General features: G+C 39.8%; 1 protein-coding gene across 7 annotated transcripts in view; it reads right to left on the reverse strand.

Moving 5' to 3' along the window:
* The window catches only part of HTR4 (5-hydroxytryptamine receptor 4), a 203,496-nt gene extending 178,385 nt beyond the window's left edge, over positions 1 to 25,111 (reverse strand). For 5 of the 7 annotated variants that reach the window (NM_001040169.2, NM_199453.3, NM_001040172.2 and 2 more), the window contains exon 1: positions 7,573 to 7,645. In NM_001040169.2, coding sequence (NP_001035259.1) covers positions 7,573 to 7,598 — 26 coding nt within the window. In that variant the 5' untranslated portion in view covers positions 7,599 to 7,645. Of the gene's footprint in view, positions 1 to 7,572; positions 7,646 to 24,645 lie in introns of those variants that run through there. The other 2 variants (NR_104445.2, NM_000870.7) reach the window with 1 other exon arrangement.

The following is a 25,596-nucleotide window of genomic DNA, read 5'->3' on the forward strand; positions in this document are numbered from 1 at the left end:
TCACAGGTGAAATGATGTGGATTTTCATTATCAAGGAGCTTCTGCTTTACTAAAGTCCAGGGGGAAGCTTTGAGGCCTACAGACTGCTCATTTAGCAGGCTGTAATTCAAAGTATGCCTCAGTGGAACTGATAGAGCTGGAGGCTGCAGAGGTTCAGCTTGGCAAGCAAAACAAAGTCAGGACACTTGGGAGCACCCCTTTCAGTAATAACCAAATTCTCTAAAACAGGTGGACAAGGTAAACTGCACAAAAGACTGAGCTTCCTGCAGTCAAGCAGATTGAGACTCAGATGCTTATATTAATGCCGTCACATCTGCACCCTCAGGTTTCTGAAGCCGGGTGAAGCAGCCTCCACAGCAGTAAGTTCCAGAAGAAACCAAGCTTATATAGTGGGGAAGCTGTATCTGTTATTTGCCACAGTTTTTATGCACTTATATCAATCAATGAGAGCCAGAAGCCTGAAAACTATATTTTTCAGACTTTCTTGCCCACTGGCTTCAGGTTATGTTTTCCAAATGAGAGATTCAACATGGAAATTTGGGCGATGAGGTGAGAAAGAGGAGTATATTTCTTCTCTATTTGGAGGTGCTTTAAGCAGTAAGAGCAACAGCAAATGGTTCCAGAAATGTGGCAATGGTTGTGCCTCCAGCAGACCCATAACAGCAAGGAGGATCATGAGGCTTCTTGACCTCTTTAACATCTCCTTCTCCCTGCTCTGCCATGGAGCTCTGTGACCTGCACTAAATCTCCGTTTGCTTAAAATATATACAACAGTTTCCATTTTCCTGCCTGGACACTGACAAATACAATAGCAGAAAGAAATAAGTCAGGGGTATTTTCTTGTAAACAGGGGTCACCAATCAAGGGAATGATTGCATATAAAGGAGAGCTGGCTGTATGGAATCCAGCACAAGACCAGGAGTCAAAGAGACACAAGATCTTAACCCAGATGCTCCAATTCCCAAACAGAACTGTGTCCAAGTCCATGGAAGCTGCAGAGAAAAGAGAAAATGGTGCTAAATAGGTATAGAAGACCAGTGGTTTCATTCCAACTAAGCCACTTATTAGCTCCAATATTGAAGGTTTTCTGTCATCTTTGGGAGCCTTTGTTTCCTCACCAGAGAATGGGTACAGTCAGGGATAAATATTCAAACAATTTAATAACTGATCATTAAGGTCAACCAGGTAAGTAGATGGATACTAAATTGAAACAATCAAGAAACTTATAGCTTATAGTAATTAATTATCAGTTTTTGGGTAATAAATATCTACCTCTCATGATACTCGTGATGACTAAAGACACATTTATCATTTACTCTATGCATACTATGTGCAAAATACTATGTTAAGAATTTTACCTATGTTTTTCTGAAGATTACCTGTAATCTTAAGAAAAATCCCATTTTCAGACACCAAAACTGAAGGCTCAGAGAGATTACATAAATTCTTCAAAGTAATACAGCCAGTAAATGGGAAAGTCAAGACTTGAACTTATATTATTCTGTTTCCATAAACCCTACTTTTCCAGCATCCCATGGTGTTGGTAGTTGAAGTTCTGTTAGGAACGCTTCAGAAGATGTATAGGATCACGTATATGTAGAAGATTACTAGCTTAATTCCATAACCAGAAAATTTCACACATTGCAAGAGGCCATTGCTTTCAAAATATAAATGTATCTTCTTCCTTCTAGTAGTTTGTGATGCCTCTAGCTTGAGGTTCCCCATAACCCCAAGTGGCACAGGGGTTTTCAACACAAGATGAGTCCCAGCTCATATTCACTGTATTCCTGATCTAATCAAAGTACTAACTGAATAGTCACCATTTTGTCAGTCAAGCAGTGAAGTTGAGTATTATTCTCATTTACATTTCTAAAGCAACATAAAAATAACCCCTTTTAAATGGTACCCACTCACTTTCTCCTTATATGCTAACGAATGTCACAATTTCCGAGCCTGAAGAGAGATTTCCTGCAAAACACCTAAATGCCTTAAAGTTGCACATGTTCACAATTCTGACTGCCAGGTTACAAACATGAATTGACTCCAGTTCCAAATCAATTCCACATCGATAAGTCTTTAGGGCAAACAACTAACACACATTGATTTTTTAAATTCTATAAATTATTTCAAGGCTTTAGAATATTCAGCATTAAAAATTACCATTTCATTTCAGGCTTTAGTGAAGCATAATGTGTATTTTTACCAGTATTAATCAACCCCAAAATCAACTTTTCTGTTTAAAAAATTTCTATCTTTTTCTGTTTGCTAAGATTGGAAAATTTCAATTCATTCTTGTAGTTACATTGATATCCAATACATTTAATTTCTTGATCTAAAGTAATGAATTGTGACTTGGTGTCATGACAGAATTAAGGCAACTAGGTAATTAATTTGAAGCCAACTACTCACTTTGTTATGGTTTTTAATTAATGTTGTTGCATGTGTATAGCAGGAGACTGCTTTTATATAAATATTATGTATTTTATATTTAAATTATTCAACTTTTGGTATTTACTCAGATTTTCTGTGTTGTGTATAAAAGCTTGCCAGTTTGATCTTCAGTTAAAAAATATTTAGTGGCTCCCTAGTACCGTCATCAAGCCTACCAAAGGAATCAAAAAGAAAGATTCTTTCCCTGGAAAATTCTTCTTTCTTGGATTTCTTTCTCACTTTCCTCCTTCTTCCTTTACATCCTTAAAGTGGCTTACAAAAATGATCAATACATTATTTAAAAAGCAAAGGAAACAAGACGAAGCGATTAAAAGGGTTGGAAAATATAGTAAAGGCTTGTTAGAGCCATTGTACACACCTAGAGATCTTCTACACTTATTAGTGGTGATTATAAATTTGTCTCTCAGTTTCCTAGAAACCCTAGCAAAGGGCGGAAAATGCTACCATTTATATGATTCATAATCCTATAAGATGCTTTTCTGGTTGCTAATGAGAAACATTAATAAGAAAGCACAACAGTCATTTCGTGGAGAAGAAGCCGATCCTTAAATGAGGTTGTTCTTATTAAAGAAGGAAGAAGCCCCAGGGACTGCAGGGTCAGTGAAGCAAGAGGATAGAGAGCTCATGGGGCAGGGAGGTGAGTCAAGGGTAGGCAGAAGCTACCGTTAAAAAGAACCAAGACATAAAATAAACTTTTTCTCTGCTCAAAGCCTGGAGGCATTGTCTTGAGAAACCTCCAAGTGCAAGTTTATATACAAATGGACTTTCCTTCACCTGTTTATCTCCTGTCTGAACATTGTACTCTCTGGAACTTAAAAAGAAATTGATTGAAAAAATTTCTTAGAAAGCAGAAACTTTCAAATTATAATAAACAGCCAGAAAAAAGAGACAGAAACCTGAACTGCATTTAGCGATCACACTTGAACTGAGGAAAACCACGTGTCAGCCGGGAGAATCTGGTAGTTAAACAACATCAAAAGCATAGCTGTTTCTGAAGTCAGGCATTAAGTGTTTTAGGGCTGAATTAAGTAGGGTGAGGCACCAGCAAGGCTCATTCCCCAAATACAAGCCAAAGATGTTCTACAGGGTATCTGCTGCAAAATCATCAAAGCCAGTGTTTCCATTTTTCTTTCTTCAACCCTTCAAAAAAAAATGCAGCTGCCTCCTCCGGAGCCTTGAGGAGGAAAAAACAGACCAATAAAACAGATCAGGTGGGTGTCAGATTGTCTGGAAAGAGCTGCCTGTTGACTGCTAAGTTGGCTGACACTATTTACCAAGGGACAGGACTCATCAGGAACTTGCCTCCCCAACCAGGGCCTGATTCACTGCCAGCTTTTCATCATGATTCAATCCATCCTGCATCAACTGCTTTCTCTGCTATGGAGACTCTTAAGAGGAAAATGCTTATAATGCTTCTCATATTGCTAAAATCAAGACCTAGTATGACTTTTCTTAATTTTACCTTATAGTTCACAGAGAACATAGCGCATTGTATGTATCTTACTATTAGAATTCTTTTTTTTTTATTATACTTTAAGTTTTAGGGTACATGTGCACAATGTGCAGGTTAGTTACATATGTATACATGTGCCATGCTGGTGTGCGCACCCATTAACTCATCATCTAGCATTAGGTATATCTCCTAATGCTATCCCTCCCCCCTCCCCCAACCCCACAACAGTCCCCAGACTGTGATGTTCCCCTTCCTGTGTCCATGTGTTCTCATTGTTCAATTCCCATCTATGAGTGAGAACATGCGGTGTTTGGTTTTCTTTTATCACCGTATTAAATACTTTAGTTCAGTGATTGTCATCTAGCTACACAGTGAGATCCTTAAGCCCAGGAAATTGTCTCCCTCTTTCTGACACAAAGTGTAGGTGCTTAATTATTTTATAGTAAAGAAATAAAGGCAATCTACTGACAATTTCTTCCTGTGGTTGGCCATGATTGCATTTTCTAACTTTCCTGGAACTCCCAAAGTTCTTTTTTATGTCTAATCCTGGTCCTCCAGCATTTTTCATAGTAATTCTTTGAGCTTGTACACTGTAACTACTCCCAAATTACCTTTGATTATGTTAGCCAGAGTTAGTTTCTGATGTTTTTAGTCAAGGATGCTGACAGACACATTGTAGCAAGGACCAAGCTGAATTAGAAAACTCAATTAAATGACGCCAAACAAACAAAAATGAAGTGAGCAGTATGGCCGGACAAAACACTTAACTGTAAGACATTTTATTTAATAGAAAATGTCAACTAGGACCACTCTGTCTCTTGACATCTGGGGAAAATTGACTGGAGCCCCTCAATTCTAGAGCTTGTGGAAGTCTAAAGCCTTCTCTGAGATTTCTGAAATCTCTCTAGGGCATTTGCAGTCTCCTGCCATCCTGTTCCTTTTGGGTGTCCATTCTCACATAGGCATCCTCTCTTCCAAACCCCATTTACCAACACAGGAATGTCAGACATCTCAGCAATGTATACATAGACCCACACACAAACATTCACATGCACATATGTATTGAAATAAAATATCATATAAAAGAAGGCAATGCAGTTTTATGACCTTGAACAAGTTATTCAACCTCCTTATGTCTCAGTTGACACACATGGTAAAATAGGGATAATAATGATATGGAGCTTGTAGGACTGCTTTAAAAATTAAATGGGATAATACTAGTTTATAGCCCATGCTGAGCTCACACATTCAACAAAAGAAACATTCAACATGAATTCATAGCCAAGCTAGAAAATTTTCCTGAAGGACTGAGTCCTCGGAGAAGTCAGCACACACATTAAAGAAAAAAAACAAAAAGATATGCAACTGTACTCTCAAAGTCCCTTACAACTAATGTTTTGCCCCTTCCCAAACAGAGCCCAGATTCTCCTTCTCTGAATCATGTCTCCTCCAAACTCCTCCCTTTTCCATTCATTTTCTTCTATCTTCAGAGCAAGTAAAAGGATTCTTTTCCTGGGCTAGAAACCCAGGCTTTTCAATTCTCACCTTATGTAGGCACTTTTCCAAGTGGGGACATCCCTTATCAAAGAAGAATTTCTGGTTCATGCTTTTAAAATAATAAAATTTCTTCTTGCTAATTACACCTAGAAAAAGGGTGTCTAGACTTTAGTCATTTGCATAATACCCTTGTGATTTTTTTAACATTCCCTTATTAATTAATATAAAAATGCATAATATTTTTAAAAATAAACCTACATTTACATTTTAAATAAATTAATCATATAAGGAAATATTTTTCACTATTATAAGTGGCAAAATATTATTACTCATCCTAAGGAGGTAACCTCAAAATAAACATTTGATTTTAAAATAAAAATATTGTTGGCATACCACCTAAATTCATTATGTATTCCTAACAATTCATGCATCACAATTTGGTAAATGTGAGCCTAAAAACATCTTTTATTATGGACATTCAAAGGCTGTACTGAGAGGACATGAGGGAAAGTCTGTGGCATTTGCCTGTTATTAATATTGTGGATAGAGAGGGGGAGTGGGTGAGGAGAAACATATGTTGATGGGATCTGGTTAGAAAACTGACAGAGAAGATGGTCCAGAGACAAGATTCTGGGGCGTGATATCATCTTGTATCCTGCACTATTGTTCCACAGCACCCAGGAGAATGGCTAATGTCCATTTAATCAAATTGTATTCTGCTGTTAGAATCTAATGCTGCTATAAATAAATGTTTAAAAGCTAGAAATGTTACAGCTCATAATATCTGAATTATTCCCCCAAAAGTACATTTTAACCAACTGATCCAGTTTGATACAGTGTCTGAAATTTAAAACAATATTATAATGTGTCACCATTGATATTGCTCACTCTGGCCTTTTAATTAACAAAAATAAAATTGAGATTCTCTGCATTTCACTCTGCTTTCTCTGGGCAAATAATTTCACAAACTTTAGAGGAAAATTAAAGACCTGGCACCAGGTCTGGCACCAGCCTAAATAATCTATGTTAATGTCCTAAGACTCTGAACCAAGTCAGTACATCTGGGAAATAACAAAGTCCACACACTTTTATTGAGAGTGTAAAATGTTTTATTGCTAAAAATACAGTCTCTTTGTATATCTATATGTATTAGAACACAACCTTATTTGAAATATATATATTACAACAATGACAAACTGATCAACATCTCTTTATTAAATACCCACCATGTACCAGGGATTTTGCCAGGGATCATGAAACACATTCTACCCTCAAGAAATTCCCTGGTTGGGGTGACAGTACATCTTGGCAACTCAAGTCATATTACACTAGAGTTTCTGTCAAGATATTTGACAGCTCCTTTTGTGATAGTTTTCTACTATGTCAAATGCAGAGGCACAAGGCCCCTGATCTATACCTGAAATATACTTTTCTAGAGGTCTCAAGTGAATGAAAAACAGTTCTTGTGATTACAGCAAGAATGTATTTTTTAGGATGTATTCCAGCTACTGATATCTATGGATAATTCTCAGCCTCAAATGCCAATTCATAACATTGAGGCCTTATTGAATACACTTTTCTTTGTACTATTTGATTGTGCCAAATAAAGCAATCTTTTCGAAAAGAAAATCTTCCCTAGGAGTCAGACTACTATTTCATCTCCAAGGCTTGCAGAAAATTACAGGAAAACAAATCAAAACGAAACAAAAACCATTTAGCTTTATGTAACTATACCATGCAACCATTATGTCACATAATATAATAACCTAGTTGAGAAAAGAAGTGGACAAACTAGAACCTGCTATAAAAAGCAACGTGAATTTGTCTCAAGTTTAGATATACAGATAGATATTCTTAAGCTATTTTTACCCCTACTTAAATACATCTTTCTTCCTATTACAGAGATGAATATCTATTTTCAAACATCATCTCCATAATGCAGACTTTTAGTATAGGAAGCTGGAAATGTTTACAGTCATATTACGTTTTTCATTTAAACAGAAATGACAAAACACTAATAATCAAACAGTACTGTGAACATGATTATATATGAAACATCAAAGAAAATCCACATCCATTAACTTTATAACTCTACAACAACAGATTTTTAGAGTCTTCATAGCAGAAATGTTCTCAGTTTACAACACAATATGTACAGAAAGGTAACATACCTCACATTAGCATCAAGTTTGTCCATTACAGGAAATAAGCATGAGTGAGTTGGATTTCAATGCCCACAGGGTCCTAAAATGGGGGAAGTAAAAAGATGTTATAAAAGAAAGCAGCATTGAAAAATACAAGTCCTTGTTTTAAAAAACTCAAATAACTATTGCTTCCTATTATGACTTGTTTTGTGGAAATATTTAATAAACAATACTAAAGCAAAAAGCTTTTGGCATATTGACGTATGGTACAGCCGAGTGTCACAAAAGGTTTATTTACACCCTACTGATCGCTTTGTGATTAAAACATATGGGTGCTTCTTTTTGCTCCATTTATTGTTATTTATGTTCTTTCCAGAAACATGGCTTATTTTTATGATCTGCATTAGGACAGTAATTAGTGAAGATAGGTAGCTACATTCTTATGCTTAAAATAGTATATTGCCCAAAATGGCCATTTTGTTCCTATGAGGATTTTAAAAAAATGTTTAAATCATTTTAAGGGTAGGAAATCACAGATTCTTTTGAGAATCTAGTAAACTCTTGAGAACTGTCTGCCCAGAAAAAAATAGATACGCATGCACACACATGCACACTTTCCAGAGAGTCCATGATTCCTTGAACTCAGGAATCCAGGAATCCCAGGCCCATCCAGGAACCCCAGGCTAAGAATTCCCAATCGAAGGAGAGTTAACTTCAAATTACCAAAGTTCCTCTATCACAGACCCTCAGAAGACCTCACACTCTTTAATGGATGGGCATTCACTGATCTCCACAAAATCAACCCTCTTTACTAATTGTTCAGTTCCATTTTTGCATTTTTATATCTTCATCACATCTGTTCCACAGCATGATGAATCAGTAAGTGTAGGGGCAGGGTCCGGCTGTCTCTTCTAGGGTCACCATGAGCAAGTCCCTTTTCCTTCTGAACATCATCATTCACTTCTCAGTAAAGAGAAGAGATTGGAAAAAAATAATCTCTGAGTTCACTCCTAGCTCTGATATTCTATAGTTCTGTTTGCTAGTTTTCTAGTTGAATCTTACCAAGAAGAACCTGGAAATCTGTTATCTACATAAAAGAACCATGAAACTCAGCCTGGGCCCTTGGACACCTTGGCCAGGGTGAGCTAAACAGATGTGGCTGGCAGCCACGAAGAGAATGGCAGATCACTAGATATGGAAAGGACCTCGACTCTCTGTGTTTTTCGATGTTTGTTTCTTAGATCCTCTAAACTTAACAGGAGCTCCCATGGGCATTTCTGGGCCTGGGGCAGGCATGGGAAAGGCTCCACCTGCAGAACTCTGAGCCCCCTCCCCTAATCTGAAGGAAAGTAGCTCTGTCCACATCTGTCTGTTTTATATTTTGAATGTAGAATAATATTTTGCTGGAAATATACAAGTACAAAGCCCTAACTATCGAAGTGACAGGTCTCAATCCTCTTTCCTTGTCTATCTAAAATTTTTCCTGAGAGGATCACATCCATCTGGTGGCTGAAAATACAGTACAATTACAATACTATTCACTGTAGACTCCCAAAATTTTATCCCTACGTTGAGACTTTCCCAGGTGTAGACAGTGCCCATCCAGCATCTCAAGATGGATGATTAAAAAGCATTTCAAACTAAACTCTTCCTTTCTCATCTCCGACACAAAAACCTGCTCTTCCCCAGTGTTCTCTATCTCAGTAAATGGCCCACCATTTACCCAGTGGTTCAGACCAGAAAAACTTCTTCTCATACCCTAAGACCAAACCATCAGCAAACTCATTCTCTCTACTTTGAAAATGATTCCTGGCCGGGGGCAGTAGCTCATGCCTATAATCCCAACACTTTGGGGGGCCTAGGTGAGTGGATCGCTTGAGCCCAGGAGTTTGAGACCAGCCTGGGCAACGTGGCAAAACCCCATCTCCACAAAAAATTAGATGGGCGTGGTGATATATGCCTGTAGTTCCAGCTACCTGGGGGGCTGAGGTGGGAGGATCACCTGAGCCCAGGAGGTTGAGGCTGCTGTGAGCCAAGATCACGCTACTGTACTCCAGCCTGGGTGACAAAGTGAGACCCTGTCTCAAGAAAAAGAAAGAAAGAAAAAAAGTAAAAGAAAGGAAGAAAATTATTCCTACTCCTGACCCTTCTCATCACCTCTGGACCCAGCATCTGGGTCCAAGCCACCAATTTCTTTCTCTGAATTACTCACCCACACCCCCAATCTGTCTCCTGCCAGAATGATATTTTTTAAATGTAAGTCAGGTCATTTCTTGCTTGCATAAAATTCTAGTGGCTTCCTATCACACTTAGCATACAATCCAAATTCCTTATCATAGCTAACCAGACCTTACATGATCTGGCCCCCACTCTTCTCCAAACTCAACTGTAGCCATGCCCCTCCCCTTTCCCACCCACCAGCTCACTGGTTTTGCTGCTTTCCTGGGCCGTAACCGTAGGTTCCCATCTCAGGGCCTTTTCACTTTGTCTCTTTTCCCTGGAATGTGACCATGTAGATTACTCTCTCACTTCCTTAGGGGTGCCGCTCAAATATCACTTCCTCAGACAGGTCTTCTCTCAACACCTAACTACAATTTCACACCCCATTTTCTAAAAATGTCTATCCTCTTTCTCTGTTCTATTTTTTTCTTCCCAGTATATATATATATATATATATATATATAGTCAATTGCTTCTTTATTTGTGATCTGTCTTGCTCACTAGAATATAAATTTCAAGAGGGCGTAGGACACTGTCTTGATCACTGTGACATCTTCAGTGCCCTCGAGAAATGCCTGGTATATTGTGTCCTCATCATAGATATTTATTGAGTCAACTAAGTAGTTCATTAGTTTTGCAAATGAGAAAACTGAGGCTTAGGAGTTTTTGACTTTCACACTGGGAGGAAGGGGACCATCTCAGAATAGAATATTGTAATTTAAAGAATAGCAAAAGTATTATATCTTAATTAGTTGCCCTTTACTACGTGTTAATAAGTACCAGACATTGCCCTTTTTCTCCTCCTCCAACCTTTGAGTCCAACCTCCGAGTCCAACCTCCATCCTATAGATGAAGAGACTGAGGGTCAGAGAGGGTAATTGAATTGCCAAAGTCATACACAGCAGCACTTGACCAATCTGGGAATAGAATTCACGGCTATGAATTCCAAAACTCGAGCTTTAGCTTACATCATTCTTGTCATCTTATTATACGTCCTCCCACTGGAGCAACAGAGTATCCTGATGAAAGTGAACATCCACTATAATTTTCTGCTGTCCATCCATCTATTTCATCTTTCTCTGAGAATAATGTCTGGATTTTCCTTACTGGAACCACCTCTTCCCTTCTCCAATCCCTAGCTCCAGTGATGAACACATAAGCAGGGCTGGTCGATCAGAATAGTCCATTCCTGGCAACAAGAATCCCTTAGCTTACTGGCTGGACCAGGGAAAGCCAGTCCTAGAATTTTTGCTAGAAAGACTCTGTATTTCCTCTGGTGTTGTCAGACAGTTTGAAGCTGCTAGTGGCCATCATTGCCACCCCATGGGAGGAGCTTGTCTGAGAAGAAAACTAACCCAAAGGAAGGCAGAGCCACAACACAGGGAATGCCAGTGTCCTGACTACATAATTTGAGGCTTAAGATCCAGCAGTGTCTTAAGATAATTTTACACTTGAATGTCCTAATTACTAGAGCCAACAAATTCTTTTTGCCTCCTTAAGCCAGTTTGAGTTGTGTTCCAGTCAGCAAGCAAATGAATGCTGAGTAATATACAATAAAATCAATATTGTATTGTTTTGCAGATTAAAAGGAAGAAAAGCTGGGCAGTTTCAGCTTTAAAAGCCATTAAAACCTAAAGTTTGTATCATTAAAACTGCATGTGAAAATGTTACAACACAAGGAAAATCTTGTATATTCATAGCATATAGATTGTTACATTTTTTGCACTGAAACCCAATGAGCAAATTTAAAATGATTGCCTTTCAACAAACCAGTGAGATAGCATGCATTTTATCAGAGAGAAAGGAACAGAGGAAGGAGGAGTTGATGATTAGTACCTATCCTAATTTGATTAATTGATTATGCCTGACTATTTTCTGCAGGACTCACCAGGGAGAACTAATCAGAGCCATGATTATAGGAACATCTCTTGCTGGGAAGATTGCATAGGGTGAGGGGGATGTGGAAGGAACCAGTGCTTTTATCTTGAATACTTATATTTCTGGCTTCTTCACAAAACACTGCCTAGCTAATTAAAAACACAATCAACTCAGAGCATCTCCTATGCTCAGGTACAAGTTGTGTCACTTCTAAAAATTCTGCCAATTCAAATCCATTAAGACCTGGTGTGTATGTGTTTGGGGGTGTGAGTGTGTTTTAATGACAGTCACGCTGTACTCTACCATCTGGACTAAGGTACAAGAAATTATACCCTCCATACTAATCCCCTTCGGAGAAACAGTCCTAGATCATCGGAAAAAGATCATGGCAAGTTCTGGAAAAGGGATGGGCGAGGAGTTAAGCAAACTCTTCTACCAATGTGAGGTACAAATGCATGTCTCAATAGTCTCTCATGACCATGCATGACAAGCTCAAACCACTGGAATTACTCAAAACATTTTATCCATCATAAAAGTAAAATTGCAGCAACATATAGCTCTATCAGATTCCCTTGAGCTTCTTTTTCTTCACGGATATATTCAGAATCTGATTTTTCCTTATAAGACTAGGAGGAGGAAGAGCTTATCTTATTTATGCCACTCAACACCATTCCAACCCTTGGTTTTCTGGCTTCACAAGTTTTAAGTGCAAACCCCAAAGGTAAGTGCATCCCATCTTTACCCTCGTTTCTGATTCAGAATTATCTGAAATATTGCTGTGGAACAGTCATTAATGGTTAACAGAAGGTGTGTAGTTGCATCTCTATTATAAGAAGTGTGAGCACAGGGTTCACATGTGAATAGTCCCCACCTACTGGAATGAAATATCGATGTAGTCTGGTACAGTGCCAACATCTGCAAACCTGGAGCTATGTCATAACCTCGGCTTGCTTTGCTCCACTTTGTTTTGTTTTCTCTGGTTTTGGTTGCATGGATGGATATTCATGCATAACTATGCTTGGATTGACCGTGTTTCTTTATAGACTATGCCTACATGGGTTAAATCAAAAGACATATCCCAATACCTTTCTTTTGGGACAAGTGTCAGGAGTAAGTAAAACATTATTATGTTAATAGCCAAATCAAGGGTGGGAGCCTGACATAATGGAATAATTGATTATGGCCCAGTGGAGGGGGAGTCACTGGACCTAGGCCCTCCACCTGACCCTGCTACTGTCTTATTCTTAAGCAAGTCTATTCACTATTCATGATCTCAGTTTTCCCAACTGCAGAATGGAATGGGGCAGAGGATGAACCCAAGGGAGAAATGTCAAGTAATTAGAACTTCTCTAAAGTTACAGGAAACTTGTAGAATGTCTCAAATAGGTTCCATAGGTAGAATAAAAGTTAGAGAAATGTGTAAGGCCAGATATTGGATAAGAATTACCTATCCAAAGGCTTGTTGTTGACTTTGTCACCTCACTGCTATAACCTACTACCCGCCATATGCACTAAAACACACAATCCCATCAGGATCACACAAGCAAACAACCCACAAGCAGTCTTACAAATTCCATGATGATCGTGATTTCCTAGTACTCCAAACTCTCTTGACCTTCAGTATGAAAAAAATTATCGAATCATCTGAAAACTTGCAACAAAGAAAATACTCTCACTAAATGGAAGAAAAGAATCCTCTCCTTGGCTATTTACTTGGATTTTGTTTTCTGGGAAACATTCAGAATTTATAGGATGCTGTCCTAGCAATTTTTTTTAACCTTAATCAGCTGATACATTCTCTTTAAAAGAATTTCTGCCTATAAATTAGTCCCTCACCAAAAAAACCATATTGTTTACCTAGAGCTCTAAATTGCAGTGTACAGGTGAAAATGTGTACAAACGATTTAAAAAAAAAGAAGCCTTTTCACATGCTGGATCTTATTAGCACTGGTAGTAAAAATGTCATTTGAACTAAGTCATTTAGAAAGATTTAGTCCTAAATAAAAAGTTTATAGCCATTTCATTTGCATAACTGAATATCCAATACGGACGCCAATTCCATTATAATTGAAATACACCTATACTGATACGTACAATTAGGATGCAAAATGTTTTTAACTTTTTTAAAAGTAAATACACTTTTCTCAGCTGGGTAAATAAACATATTACAGCTGGTAAGTTTAGCATCTTTGTCAAAAAACTATTATATAAAACAGCCCTTAACCAACTAAAGGATATTTAAAAGGCATACCCAAGCAACCTTTTGTTAAAAGGAATGGATTACAGGAAAAATAAAGGGGTAACATACACTTCCATTTCATGTTGTGCTGAATGGGATATATCTAGTGTTTCTAGAAATCAGGTTTTTTTTCCCAAAGGCAGAGATTTTTTTCCCCCAAAGAATACAATGAGATCCCAAGAAAACAGGACCAATTAAGTGTGAATCTGGGAATTTTGTGGGGAAAAAAAAGAGAAGATTCAGTCATTAATTTATGTGCTTTTGCAATCACTTGATTAACATTTCACTTGATATTTGACCACAAATTCTATGAGAAAAGAGATATAGTACATGATCAGCAAGCACCTGAGAATAAATGGCATGGCATAATCTGAAAGTTCTCCTTGATAATTAGAGAAGGAATAATTAGCTTTGTCTTTGTGGCTCCAGAGGAGAAATGGGTGCAAGGCTCAGGAGGAGTTTGAGACTAACTGTGAGGTAGATCATTTCAATCATCAGTGCTGTTCAATTATTGATCTATGTGCCTTGGCAAGTGAAAGGATCCACCTCAGTAGGAGGCTTAGAGGCCAGAAAGCCATCAGATAGTCACGTTTGAGGGAAAGAAACAAATCTTGGATGATTCTGAATTCTGAGGAAATCCAGGAATGCAATGAGAACAGAACTAACTAAGGGGCTGTTTATTGCAGAGCAATGGTTCTCAAGTTTAGGCATGCATAAGAATCACCCGGAGGCTTGTAAAAATGAAAAGCCTGGACCCTACCCCAAGTTTCTGATGTAGTAGATTTAGAATGGAGAATCTACATTTTAACAAATTCACAGATATTACTGTTGCTGGTGGTTCAGGGACCACTCTTTGAGAACCACCACGGCAAAACAGCAATTCTCCAAAAGTGTGGTTCACATCCCCCGGGGAAAGAATATGTTCTTATGCAGTAGGTATCTAGAGCATTAAGTACTCATCAGGTCGTATGTTAAAAAATGTGCTCCCTTTTCATTTTCTGTTTTAGTTATTGTTGTTTATGTTGACTAAAAGGATTCAAATAGGTGCTAGTTTTTCTATGAAAACCCTCCTGTTATTTCCTAATCTCTCTTTTTAAAAGATGAATAGGTCTCAAGCTCACAAGTTTTTTTTTTTTTTTTTTTTTTTTTTTTTTTTTGCTGGAAACACTATTGTCTTAGTTGGGACCCCAAGAAGCAGATCTCATGATAAGGACTAAATGCACATTGTTAATTTGGCAGGTGCCAGTACACTGATAGGGGAATAATAATATAAAAAATGGAATAAGACACAGTCAATAAGATGTGTGTTATTAAGACACTGAAGCTTAATCTCACAGGGAAGCTTTGGGAAATGGTGTAAAACATATGCCTCAGAATTCTTCCAGACAAGGGGATAGGAAGGTGGGATGTGGATACTCCCGCACCCACAATTTGTTGGTTAGAGCTATCCACAGTGGAACTTGGATTCTCAGGCACCCCCAATTTATTGTGCTTGTGTGCAAAGGGGATTCCAGTAGACTGAGAGCAGCCCTCCAAAAATGTTTCAGGTCCATCATTGGAAGTCTGATGGCTTACAGAGAAATGGTCAGGGGATCTGCAGGGAAATGAAGCAACACCAACATTGTCTGTTCCAGCTATTTAGCTGAAATCTAATATGAATACACTGTTCTTGGTATATTGTATTTGTTTTTACAGTTTTCTTCTATTTCTTGCAATTGGTACTGGTTTTCGCTTTCATTTTTGTTTCTTTATAAAATAAATTTATTTAAGGAAAATTAATTGATCTAAAGAAAAATGTCACACAGTTAATGTTCCAGATGGTATGAAAAGGTGGCAAGAATCATGAAGGAGTAGAATTCAAATGGCTGAAGTTTGAGAAATGCAGGCATAATGGTTCAAGTGGGAGGTGGCACTTTTTTCTGTAAATGGCTATTTACCAAATATTTTAGGCTTTCAAGAGCATAAGGTCACTGTCACAACTACTCAACTCTGCTGTGTAGTATGAAAACAGCCATTAACAATACATAAATGATGGACATGGCTGTGTTCCAATAAAACTAAATACATGGACATAGAAATTTGAATTTTATGTAATTTACACTTGTCACAAAATATTATTCTCCTTTTGATTTTCTTGAACAATTAAAAAATGTAAACATCTTTTTTTTTGCTTGCAAGCCACACAAAAACAGGCAGTGGGCCAGATAGTTTGCCAACCCCTGATTCAAACCACAACCCTGGAATCTGTCCTAGTTCTATTAACTACCAATATGACCTTGGGCAAATTACTTGACTTCTCTTAGCCTCAGCAGCCTCATCTGTATAATGGAGATAAACATACCAAAAACCTCACAAGGTTGATGCAAAATTTAAAAATAGAAAATGAATACTCACAAAGCAGGTGCTCAATGAGTTCACAGTATGACATTAACCAGCTGTTGTAATAAGGTGGATTCCAGCTTTCCTGTGCCCCAATCATTGCAGGGTAGATATTTCCTACTCTGCTTCTTCACAAAGGCAGCTGTGTACCTAGTGGCCCATCTCCCCTACTTTGGGATGTGGCTACAGAAATTATTCCTCTTCTCTATAGGATAAGCCTCTGAAGACTGAGCCTGAAAATGCCCAAAGGTTCTTGTCATTACTGATTTCAGAGGTCTGGAATTGGGAGCAGGTCAAATCAAAATTTGCATTTCAGCTAAATTAACTCTTTACAACTAGTATTTTGAATCTTACAGAATTATGCTGTTGACAGCAGTGGTTCTCAAACATTAGTATATCTAAAAATCACATGGAAAACTGTAGATTCAGGCACTGCCACATTCAAAGCATTTTTGAATCATAAATGCCCCAGTGATTCTGATGAAAATGATTCCTGGAGAGCAGTTCAGGAGACACTGGAAGGATGGAGTGCAATCTGTCCAGGTGAGCATACCCTTCTGAAATCCTCTTTAATGATTTTTCTGTATCTGTTTAAATGCCTCATTGGCTGAGACACCTGGATTATAGTATTTGCTCTGCATGCCAAGAGAAAGGTTTCTGCAGGCATGTTTACCTCTGCTGTCCTCACTCTGTGCTATTTCTTCTGAACCTCCTGGATTAGGAAACCATTTATACAGAATTCTCCATTTCAGATATCATGTGCTAATGATCATATCCAATTAAACATGCCAGTGCAATCTCAAAAGACATAGGCTATTTACAGCCTCTTAGGTGAAAATTCTTAAGCAAAATCTACATTTTTCCTAGACTAATAAAATGTCACCTCCCCAAAGGCTGCTGTCTACAATCTCCTACCAAAAGTTTCTAAACCAACCCCTGGAGCAAAAAATAAAACTATACCCATAGATTTTAGAGGGGCCCATTTAACACAGAAGAAAGGGATCCTGGGGAAGAAGCAGAAGGAAAGCAATGGCACATTTTTATAACAGACCAAGAACCTAACCCTTCACGTGCATTACTTCATTCACCTTCACATCACGCTATCAGGAGGTTCTGCAATTATTCTCATTTCACAGATGAAGAAACTGAGGCATAGGAAAGAGGAGCTGCCCAAAGCAATTCCAGACCAGAGTCTAGAGTTTTAACTACTAAGTTATCCCACAAACAACAACAACAACAAAAAACCCAGATCTCAATGATCCCCTATCTCAGCTCTCCCAGCTTAATTTACTATTACTTATTTAGCTTCTCAAAGCTTCCAGAATGTCTACCAGCACTTGAAAGACAATATGTTTTTAACTAAGGCTCAATTTTGCTCTTGGCATCATGTGACTTTGAGCTCCTCCCTTTGCCCCAGGTTTATCGCTGTTCAGTGTGGTTAAGACATCCAGCCCACCTGTCTTATAGACCTGCTACCACTCATGAAGTTCAAATAAGATAACTTATGTGAAAGTCCTCTGAACAATGCAAAAAGTTATCCAAAATGGTAATTTCTCAGTCTGTCATTTTCATAAATTATTTTGAAATGTTGAGAAGGAAGAAAGAGTGCATTCATTTTATGAAATCATCTGTGTCAAAAATCAGATTTTCCAGAGATCTAAGGTAGATTGTAAAATACCAAAACTGCCGATCTTTGGGGGAGCAAAGAAACTCTACTACTTGGAAGGTGGACTATTTTTTGTGGCTCAATGTAATGGAAATTACCAGAGCTTGAGAATCAGATGACCTGGGCACTGGACATTGCCCTGCCACTACCTGAACTTTAGTGAGTCTTTCCCTCTCCCCTTACAGGGGAGACAAAGCTGCTTAGTGGTTAATAAGGTGGTTAGGGCCGGGGGTGGTGGCTCACGCCTGTAATCCCAGCACTTTGGGAGGCCGAGACTGGCAGATCACCTGAGCTCGGGAGTTCGAGACCAGCCTGGCCAACACGGTGAAATCCTGTCTCTACTAAAAGTACAAAAATTAGCTGGGCGTGGTGTTGCATGCCTGTAGTCCCAGCTACTCGGGCGGCTGAAGCAGAAGAATCGCTTGAACCCCGGAGGCGAAGGTTTCAGTGAGCTGAGATTGCACCACTGCACTCCAGCCTCGCTGACAGAGCGAGACTCCATCTCAGAAACAAAACAAAACAAAAGAAGAAGGTGGTTTGGGGATTCAGACTGCCAGTGTTAAGTCCCAGCCCAATTACCACCTCATGAGTGACCTTGGACTGGTCAGGTCACCTGTCTTGGTTTGTTTCCTCAGCATAAAAATAAGAATAAGAAACAACAACTTTGCAATTGTCCAAAGAATGGATTGGTGAATAGATAGACAGAAATATGACAAAGCAACTGTGGTAAAATGATAATTATAGAATCTTTTTGGTGACTATACGAGTGTTCACTATATAGTTCTTTCAACTTTTCCCTTAAGTATCTATTTTCATAATAAAATACTGGAAAATAAGCCTCAAAAAGGGCAACAACAGAGTTTTTAGAAAAGTTAAATGAGACACAGAGCTCTCAGCAATGCTCATGGAAGGTGCTTGGCAATAGCAATGATGATCTACTGTGCAGGTAGAAGATGGGATACAATCTGTGAGTTAGAGTCGTGCTAGGTGAACAGATGTGACAAACATGAGCAGAATGAGAAGCCAGGCCACATGACACAGAAACCAGGTGGACAAAGAGGAGCCAGGATGTGCCCACTGAAGCATCAGAGTCCAAGAGAGGTGCACGAATGGAAGGATCAGGATGTTGTGTCTGGGTTGCCCAATGTGCAGGAACCTCAAAAAGAAAGGCAGATTGTCTCTATTACAAGCCACAGTATGTGATTCTCCATCCAACATCCCTTTCAGAGCAGAAAAATACTGGTCTTGAAGTCAAATCTGAGTTTAAATCCTGTCTTTGCCATACTAGTTGTGTGATAGGAGGGGACATTTATTCAGGCATCCACTACACCACTTGCCATTGGAAAAATTTACCGCAACCACAAGGATGAGCCCGTGGCAACTATGCTTCTGCTATGACTTCTTGGTCATAAACAATTGAGCCAATCAGATTCTCTTTCTTGAGAGTCTGAACTAAGAGAACAGACTCCTGGGAATGTGTCAAACTAATGGCAGAGCAATGTGGAAAGGGTCATGGACTCCAGGAGCTGAGTTTTCTAGAATTGACTGTTTTCCCATCCTTCCTGGAGCCAAGTTCCTTAACTCCACTATAAAAGCACTATTGTTTTTTCAATAAATCCTAATTTTTTGTTTAAGTAGCCAGTGTTGGCTTTTATTATGTATAACCAATAAATACATTTACTAATACACCTAGCCTTCTAACTAATACAAAAGTTTTCTTAAAGTGTCTAGGCCTTAGTTTTCTCATCTGTAGATGAGAGAGACAATACTTCTCTCAGGAGTTGATAGAAAAATCAAAGACTAGGTGTGCAAAACATACATATGATAAATATTCAATAAACATTATTTAAATTAAATCTGAGTTTCAGAACAGATCTTTCTGAGTAAGTGCTTAGAGATACCTTGCTTGGATGGGGAATGTGTGATCATGAAAAAAAAAAAAGAAGCTAATATTCAAGAAGAAGGAAGGAGTTCATTGAATTTGAAATTTGGTTTTAAAAGAAACTTTCTGATTGAGATATCAAAAATTAAATTAATTCTACATAAATATGCAGACTTAAATTTCTGTTGGGTTTCTCCATAGTGCTAATGTGGATTTGAAAGGGGAAGAAATACAAACTCGATGGACAGATAATATATTTTTCTTAACTTAGACTCTTCAGAATTTATCTGGCAGTAGACAAGATATTAAAGGACTTTTGATTTGGATTACTCTGTAAGTAATGAGGAATTTTATCATCCAAATTAAGGTAGCAGTGGGGGTAGGTGGAGACAAGGAACATGACAAGATCTAAGACCAGAATTAATTCAACCTAGAAGTACAATTGCTGAGAAAAAGCAAAGGTTTTTCTGAAACTCAAAATAAGAGGCAAAGCTTAGATGCTTAGTAAGAATGTCAATTCATCCCTAGTAATTATTGACCTTTCAGTCTTGTTCCACTCATTGATTCTCATTAATCCAAATGTTTAGTTATCTTAAAATCAGATATATTTTCATTCTAAAAATCCAGGTGGCTGCATTGTGAGTTTCATTTTCGTTCTTTAGGTCTTAACCCAATAGTTCTCAAATAGTGGTCTCAAGACCAGGAACAACATCATCACCTGCGAACCTATTAGAAATGTAAATTCTCAGATCTCAACCTAGGTGAATCAGAAACTTTGGGAGTGAGGACCAGCAATTTGTGTTTTTTTTTTAAGTTTTAATTTGTAATTTTTGTGGGTACATAGTAGGGTACATGAGATGTTTTCATACAGGTATGCAATGTGTAATAATCACATCATGATCATGTAAAATGGGGTATTCATCCCCTCAGCCATTTATCCTTTGTGTTACAAACAATCCAATTATTCTGTTGCTCATGAAAGTTTGAGAAGCACTCTCTTAACCAATCATGAGGCTGGTGAAGCCAGTGCTCTATCATTTATTCACTGGCAGTTACCAAACCTGTGAACTTGTTGACATAGCACTTAAAAAAAAATAGTCAACCTTCTCAGACGTGCCTTAGATTTGCAAGCATATTAGTAATTGGTAAATGGTAAGGCAGTCATTCTTACTCAGACTATACTTAAGGCTAGCCCTATGAATAAGTCTATTTGGTAGCCATTTACATTGTATTTCCCTCTGTGCAAATCTGTACTACTTTCTACTGTCTCAATAGCATAAAAAAGTCAACAGCATGCAGAATGGAGGAATCAAAGGGCAAACCAAGAAGAATAAAGACAGAGTTTTTTTTAAAAAAAATGGTGACTTTAATTTTGACAAGAGAAGAAATTTTAGATTGATGGTAAGGAGAAGTTAATGGAAAAATAAAGGTATAATTCACTGTTCCTTCCTCCATCCTTCCTCTCCCCTGCACCTCCCCACTTTTCCATTACCCAACACTGCCACCACCCCTTTCACTCTGCATATGCCTTTGAGCTATTTCTGAATAACAGAGAGGGGGCAAAGTCATAAAAATGAGAGAAATCACATTTCAGCTGAACACAACTCACAACCTTATAGTATCTAGCCTGTTTTCTAGAGGCAGACTTGGATATACAACTGGGCTTGAGGATATCTAAGCTCTTTTCTACCCTGTAACACCAAGATCCCATTCATGCAAGGCACTATAATATGGAGGTTCAGAGCATGAACTCTGGAATCAGACAACACACAATTTCATCCTAGCTTCACTACTCCACAGCTGAGAGAACTTGGGCACATTACTTTACCTCTCTAAGGTTGAGTTACCGCATTGCTAAAATGAGAGTAACAGAAGTATCTCTTTCATAGGATTCTTAATGAAGATTAAATAAGATCATTCTCATTAAGCATTTAGAACAGTGTCTGGCACATATCAAGGTCTAGATTAATGTGGGCTATTAAGATTATTATTATATTGCCTTCCAAATGCTTCTCAACCTTCAGCAGCATGTTGAGCATTCCCAGGCATAGCAACAAGGCAGTGAAAAGCAAGAGGGATAAAGGTAAATGTGTGAGGATGGTAAAGTTGGAAGGGGGTGGGAAGGCAGCTAGCACCACAGCAATTCATCTATTTATTTAAAAACTTTGTTGTCAGATGTTGCTGTACAAGGTTACAGGACTCGTGCTTGAATTACAGCAGTGGTTTTCAACTGGAGTGGTAGGAGGAGGGGTACTTTGCCCACCCACCCCCCGGACATTTAGCAATGCCTAGAGAAATTTCTGGTTGTCCCAAGTAGGGGTTGCTGCTGGCATCTAATGAGTGCCAGAGATGCTGCTGAACATTCTATGATGCAGAGCACAGTCCTCACAACAACGAACCATCTAGCTCAAAATTCCAATAGTGCCAAGAAATCCTGAACTACTGCATGCTGTGAAGTTACCTTAATAATATTATTGAATATTATTGAATAATATTATTGAATAAAAATATTCAATAATAATATTGAATATTTTTCAATATTCAAAAAGGCAGTGATATGGAAGACTGAATTTTCATATCAACAAATTGATCAGTTAAATATCAGAAGGTAATCATAAGAAATTAGGTGAAATGTTTCTTGCTACAACCAAGAACATCAGTGGCAATCAGAGAATTCTAGCATTGAAAGAACCCTTGGAAATGATCTAGTGGCTAGATTCTAGCTGAAATCATTCATCACATTTCACAGGTGAAGAAACTAAGACTTAGAAAGGCAAAGAAACTTGATCTATGTCACTCAATGATGCTATAGTCATTATCCAGATTCTTCTAAAAAACTAATTTAACTTGTCAGACAGTGATAATATCAAAGGTGTTCAATTCATGTATTTGCTTTGCATTTTTTCAGTGATCATAGTCTATATCTATTCCTATCTCCAGAAATTCCCAAGTAAGGGTCTTACCTGATAACGTGGTAGCAGTGGGAATAAAAAGAAAAACAAAATAGATTTAAGAGGTATTGAGGGAAAAACAGATAAAACCTGCCTATAGATGAAAACTATGGCAGCTACTGATGAAGGAAGAGGAGGAATAAAAAGGTGACTTCAGTTCCCAGCCTGGGTGATGTAGAGGATGGTGGTGTTCAATAACAGGTGGAAAAATCAGGAAGCGTCTTGGGGTAGCAGGATGCTTATGTTGGGTTTCAGGTGCTGTCCTTTAGTCTGTGAAGTTGGGGAAGGAGATGAGGAGATGAACAGAATCAGGGAGGTCCAGAAGAGCAGGGTGAAAGAATATACATTTGATTTGTTGGCTTCAAGGATGCTTTTGCCCCTACAGGGAACAGCATCAGAACTGAAATCCAGATAACTCAGAGGAACCAGAGACACTACTGTCCTCTGGGCCCTGGGGCCTCCTTCTGCTCGATATGAACTGAACTAAATGCTCCCTGAAGCTCCTGCTAGCTTCAGTGAGCTACAGTTCTCCTGGCATTTAAATGATGACTGTGGCTCTCCTCTATAATAATAATTATAATAAGGATATTTCCCACAGGAGGGAATGATGCAAACGTAAGAGAGATTTTAAGATGAGAATGCAGGAGGAAAATAAACATGATTAAGAAATGACTTGCTAATGCTGCAAAACCTGTTTACTTTTTACTAATTTTTTTCCTGACACTTGTATATTTCCTAGGTGAGAGCTGCTCTTCAGAACTCTGCAGGTCTCATCCCTTCCCTGACTCTTTCCTTGTTTTCAGGGCACCGCATCCACCACCCACGTCCTTTTCCTTCAAAACCTGTGCTCACCAGGAGCACGCAGCAACATCTCCCTTGGTCACTGATGCTCAAGTTCCATTCCAGGGACAGGGTAAATATCCACTACTGCTCACCACAGTCACCCACAGCTTTAAGGGCCAGAGAATCCATCCCAGCGATGGAAGACAGGGAGGGCAAACTTGAACCAGTGTCCTTCCATCAAAAGCCTCCTTTGGTTCATGCCAAACCTATACCCTAAGAAACATTCTGTTTCTTCATTTGATTGGACCAAATGGAAATCAAGCCAAGATTTTCTCTTAACATTGAACTCTAGGAAGACAAGCTCATGCCTACCACTTTTTGACCTCTGCCAGCTGCCACTTCCTTGTACCAACATCCACTTCTTTCAAAGACAACTAACAGCACAGTGCCGCACAGGGTAGCAAGCTGTGAGGAAATGCATCTGAAATCGGGATTGGGATTCTGTGAAAGGCAACTGCAGGATGGTTGCGAGTACCGGCAGTGACCGCCAAGGCTTTATGCAGCACATCGTACCCACACACTCATGGCTACGTATACACACACATCAAAGTGGACGCTCAAGACACACTATCTTGTCTCTCTCTCTCTAACACACACACACACACACACACAGCACACTCTGGGCTGCACATCAAGGACCAGCCATAGAGTCCACACACACATCCAGTTACACACTTGGCTATGGATGCACAGCCTGTGCGCGCTCTCTCTTACACACACGCACACACACAAATCTTTACATACACAACCTCCCTTGTATAGTCAGTGAGCACACATGCAGTTTCACAAGTACTTACATACACAAGTGGAAAGCACCAGCCCCAAGCCTACAGTGATCCCACGCTGGAAACACGTTGTATACAACCAGCCAGCCCACCTACACCCTGAGCCGCCCCGAAGCCCACCCTGCCGCAAAGCCGGGTGTCCTGAGTCCAGAACCCCCAAGCCCCCGACCCCGTCGTGCTGCCCCGCCCCCGCCGCGTCCCCACCGGCACCCGTGGGCTCCTGGGGTCCCGACCCCCGGCGCACTTGCCGCACATACCCGCTGCCAGAGGCGAGGGAGCGAGGTGCCCTGGCAGATTCGAGCGGCCACCCCCAGCCGCTGAGCCGAGCTTCTGCTGCCGCCGCTGCCGCTGCGCTCCCAGCCGCTGCCTGCGCCCTCCCTGCCGCCCCCTCGGGTGCGGGCTCCAGCCCCCGCGCTGGGGAGCCGGCGAGCGTGAGGCGCGGGCCAGGGGCTGCGGGCGCAGGACCCCAGCCCCGGATCACCTGGGCTCGCCGCGCATCGTCCTTCTCCCCAACCGAGCCGGACTCCACGGGCTCAACAGCCCCCAGCCCCGGTGGTCCCCGCTGCCCTGCCCGCTGCCGCCCCCACTGGGCGCCAGGGACAGCGGGGGTGCCGCTCTGCCGGCAGGGCGCACAGGGGAGTGGGCACAGAGGCGGGCTGGAGCGATCTCACCCGTTCCGGGCTGGCCAGCACGCGCCCTCCCTGGCCGGAGCGCTGCTCATCTGATGGAGGGCAGGAAGGAGCCCTGGGCTGACTGCAGGCTCCTGGGTGACCTTGGACAAGTTGGTTAGCCTCTCTGAGTGCCCACTTCCTCTATTCAAATATAATAAACATGAAAGCGTTTGTGGCGTCTGTGCCAGGGAAATCCTATCCCTGTATAGTTTACTTCCTTCTTATGCCTCTGCCTCTGCCAGAGCAGGGAGAGTTTGGGTGCAGGGTTCAGAGTGAGCTTCGTAGCACCTTGGATATAAGACTCAAGTTTTCCAGAGACAATGATTCCATTTGCCTGAAGTCTTCCTAAATGATCCTGTCCATATTGATAGTCCACTATTTGCTGTCTTAGCCTGTCCTCCCAGCTTTGACCACCTGTGACCTTGAGCATGTAATTAAACAAGAGTCAAGCCTCAACGCTCCCGTCTGTAACACGGGCATAAACTCACAGTTGTGTGGTGCAGGTGTGCCACTTAGTGAGTTGCAGTACCTGTGAGG

This window comes from Homo sapiens, chromosome 5, assembly GCF_000001405.40.
Source record: "Homo sapiens chromosome 5, GRCh38.p14 Primary Assembly".
NCBI classification, from domain to species: Eukaryota; Metazoa; Chordata; class Mammalia; order Primates; family Hominidae; genus Homo; species Homo sapiens.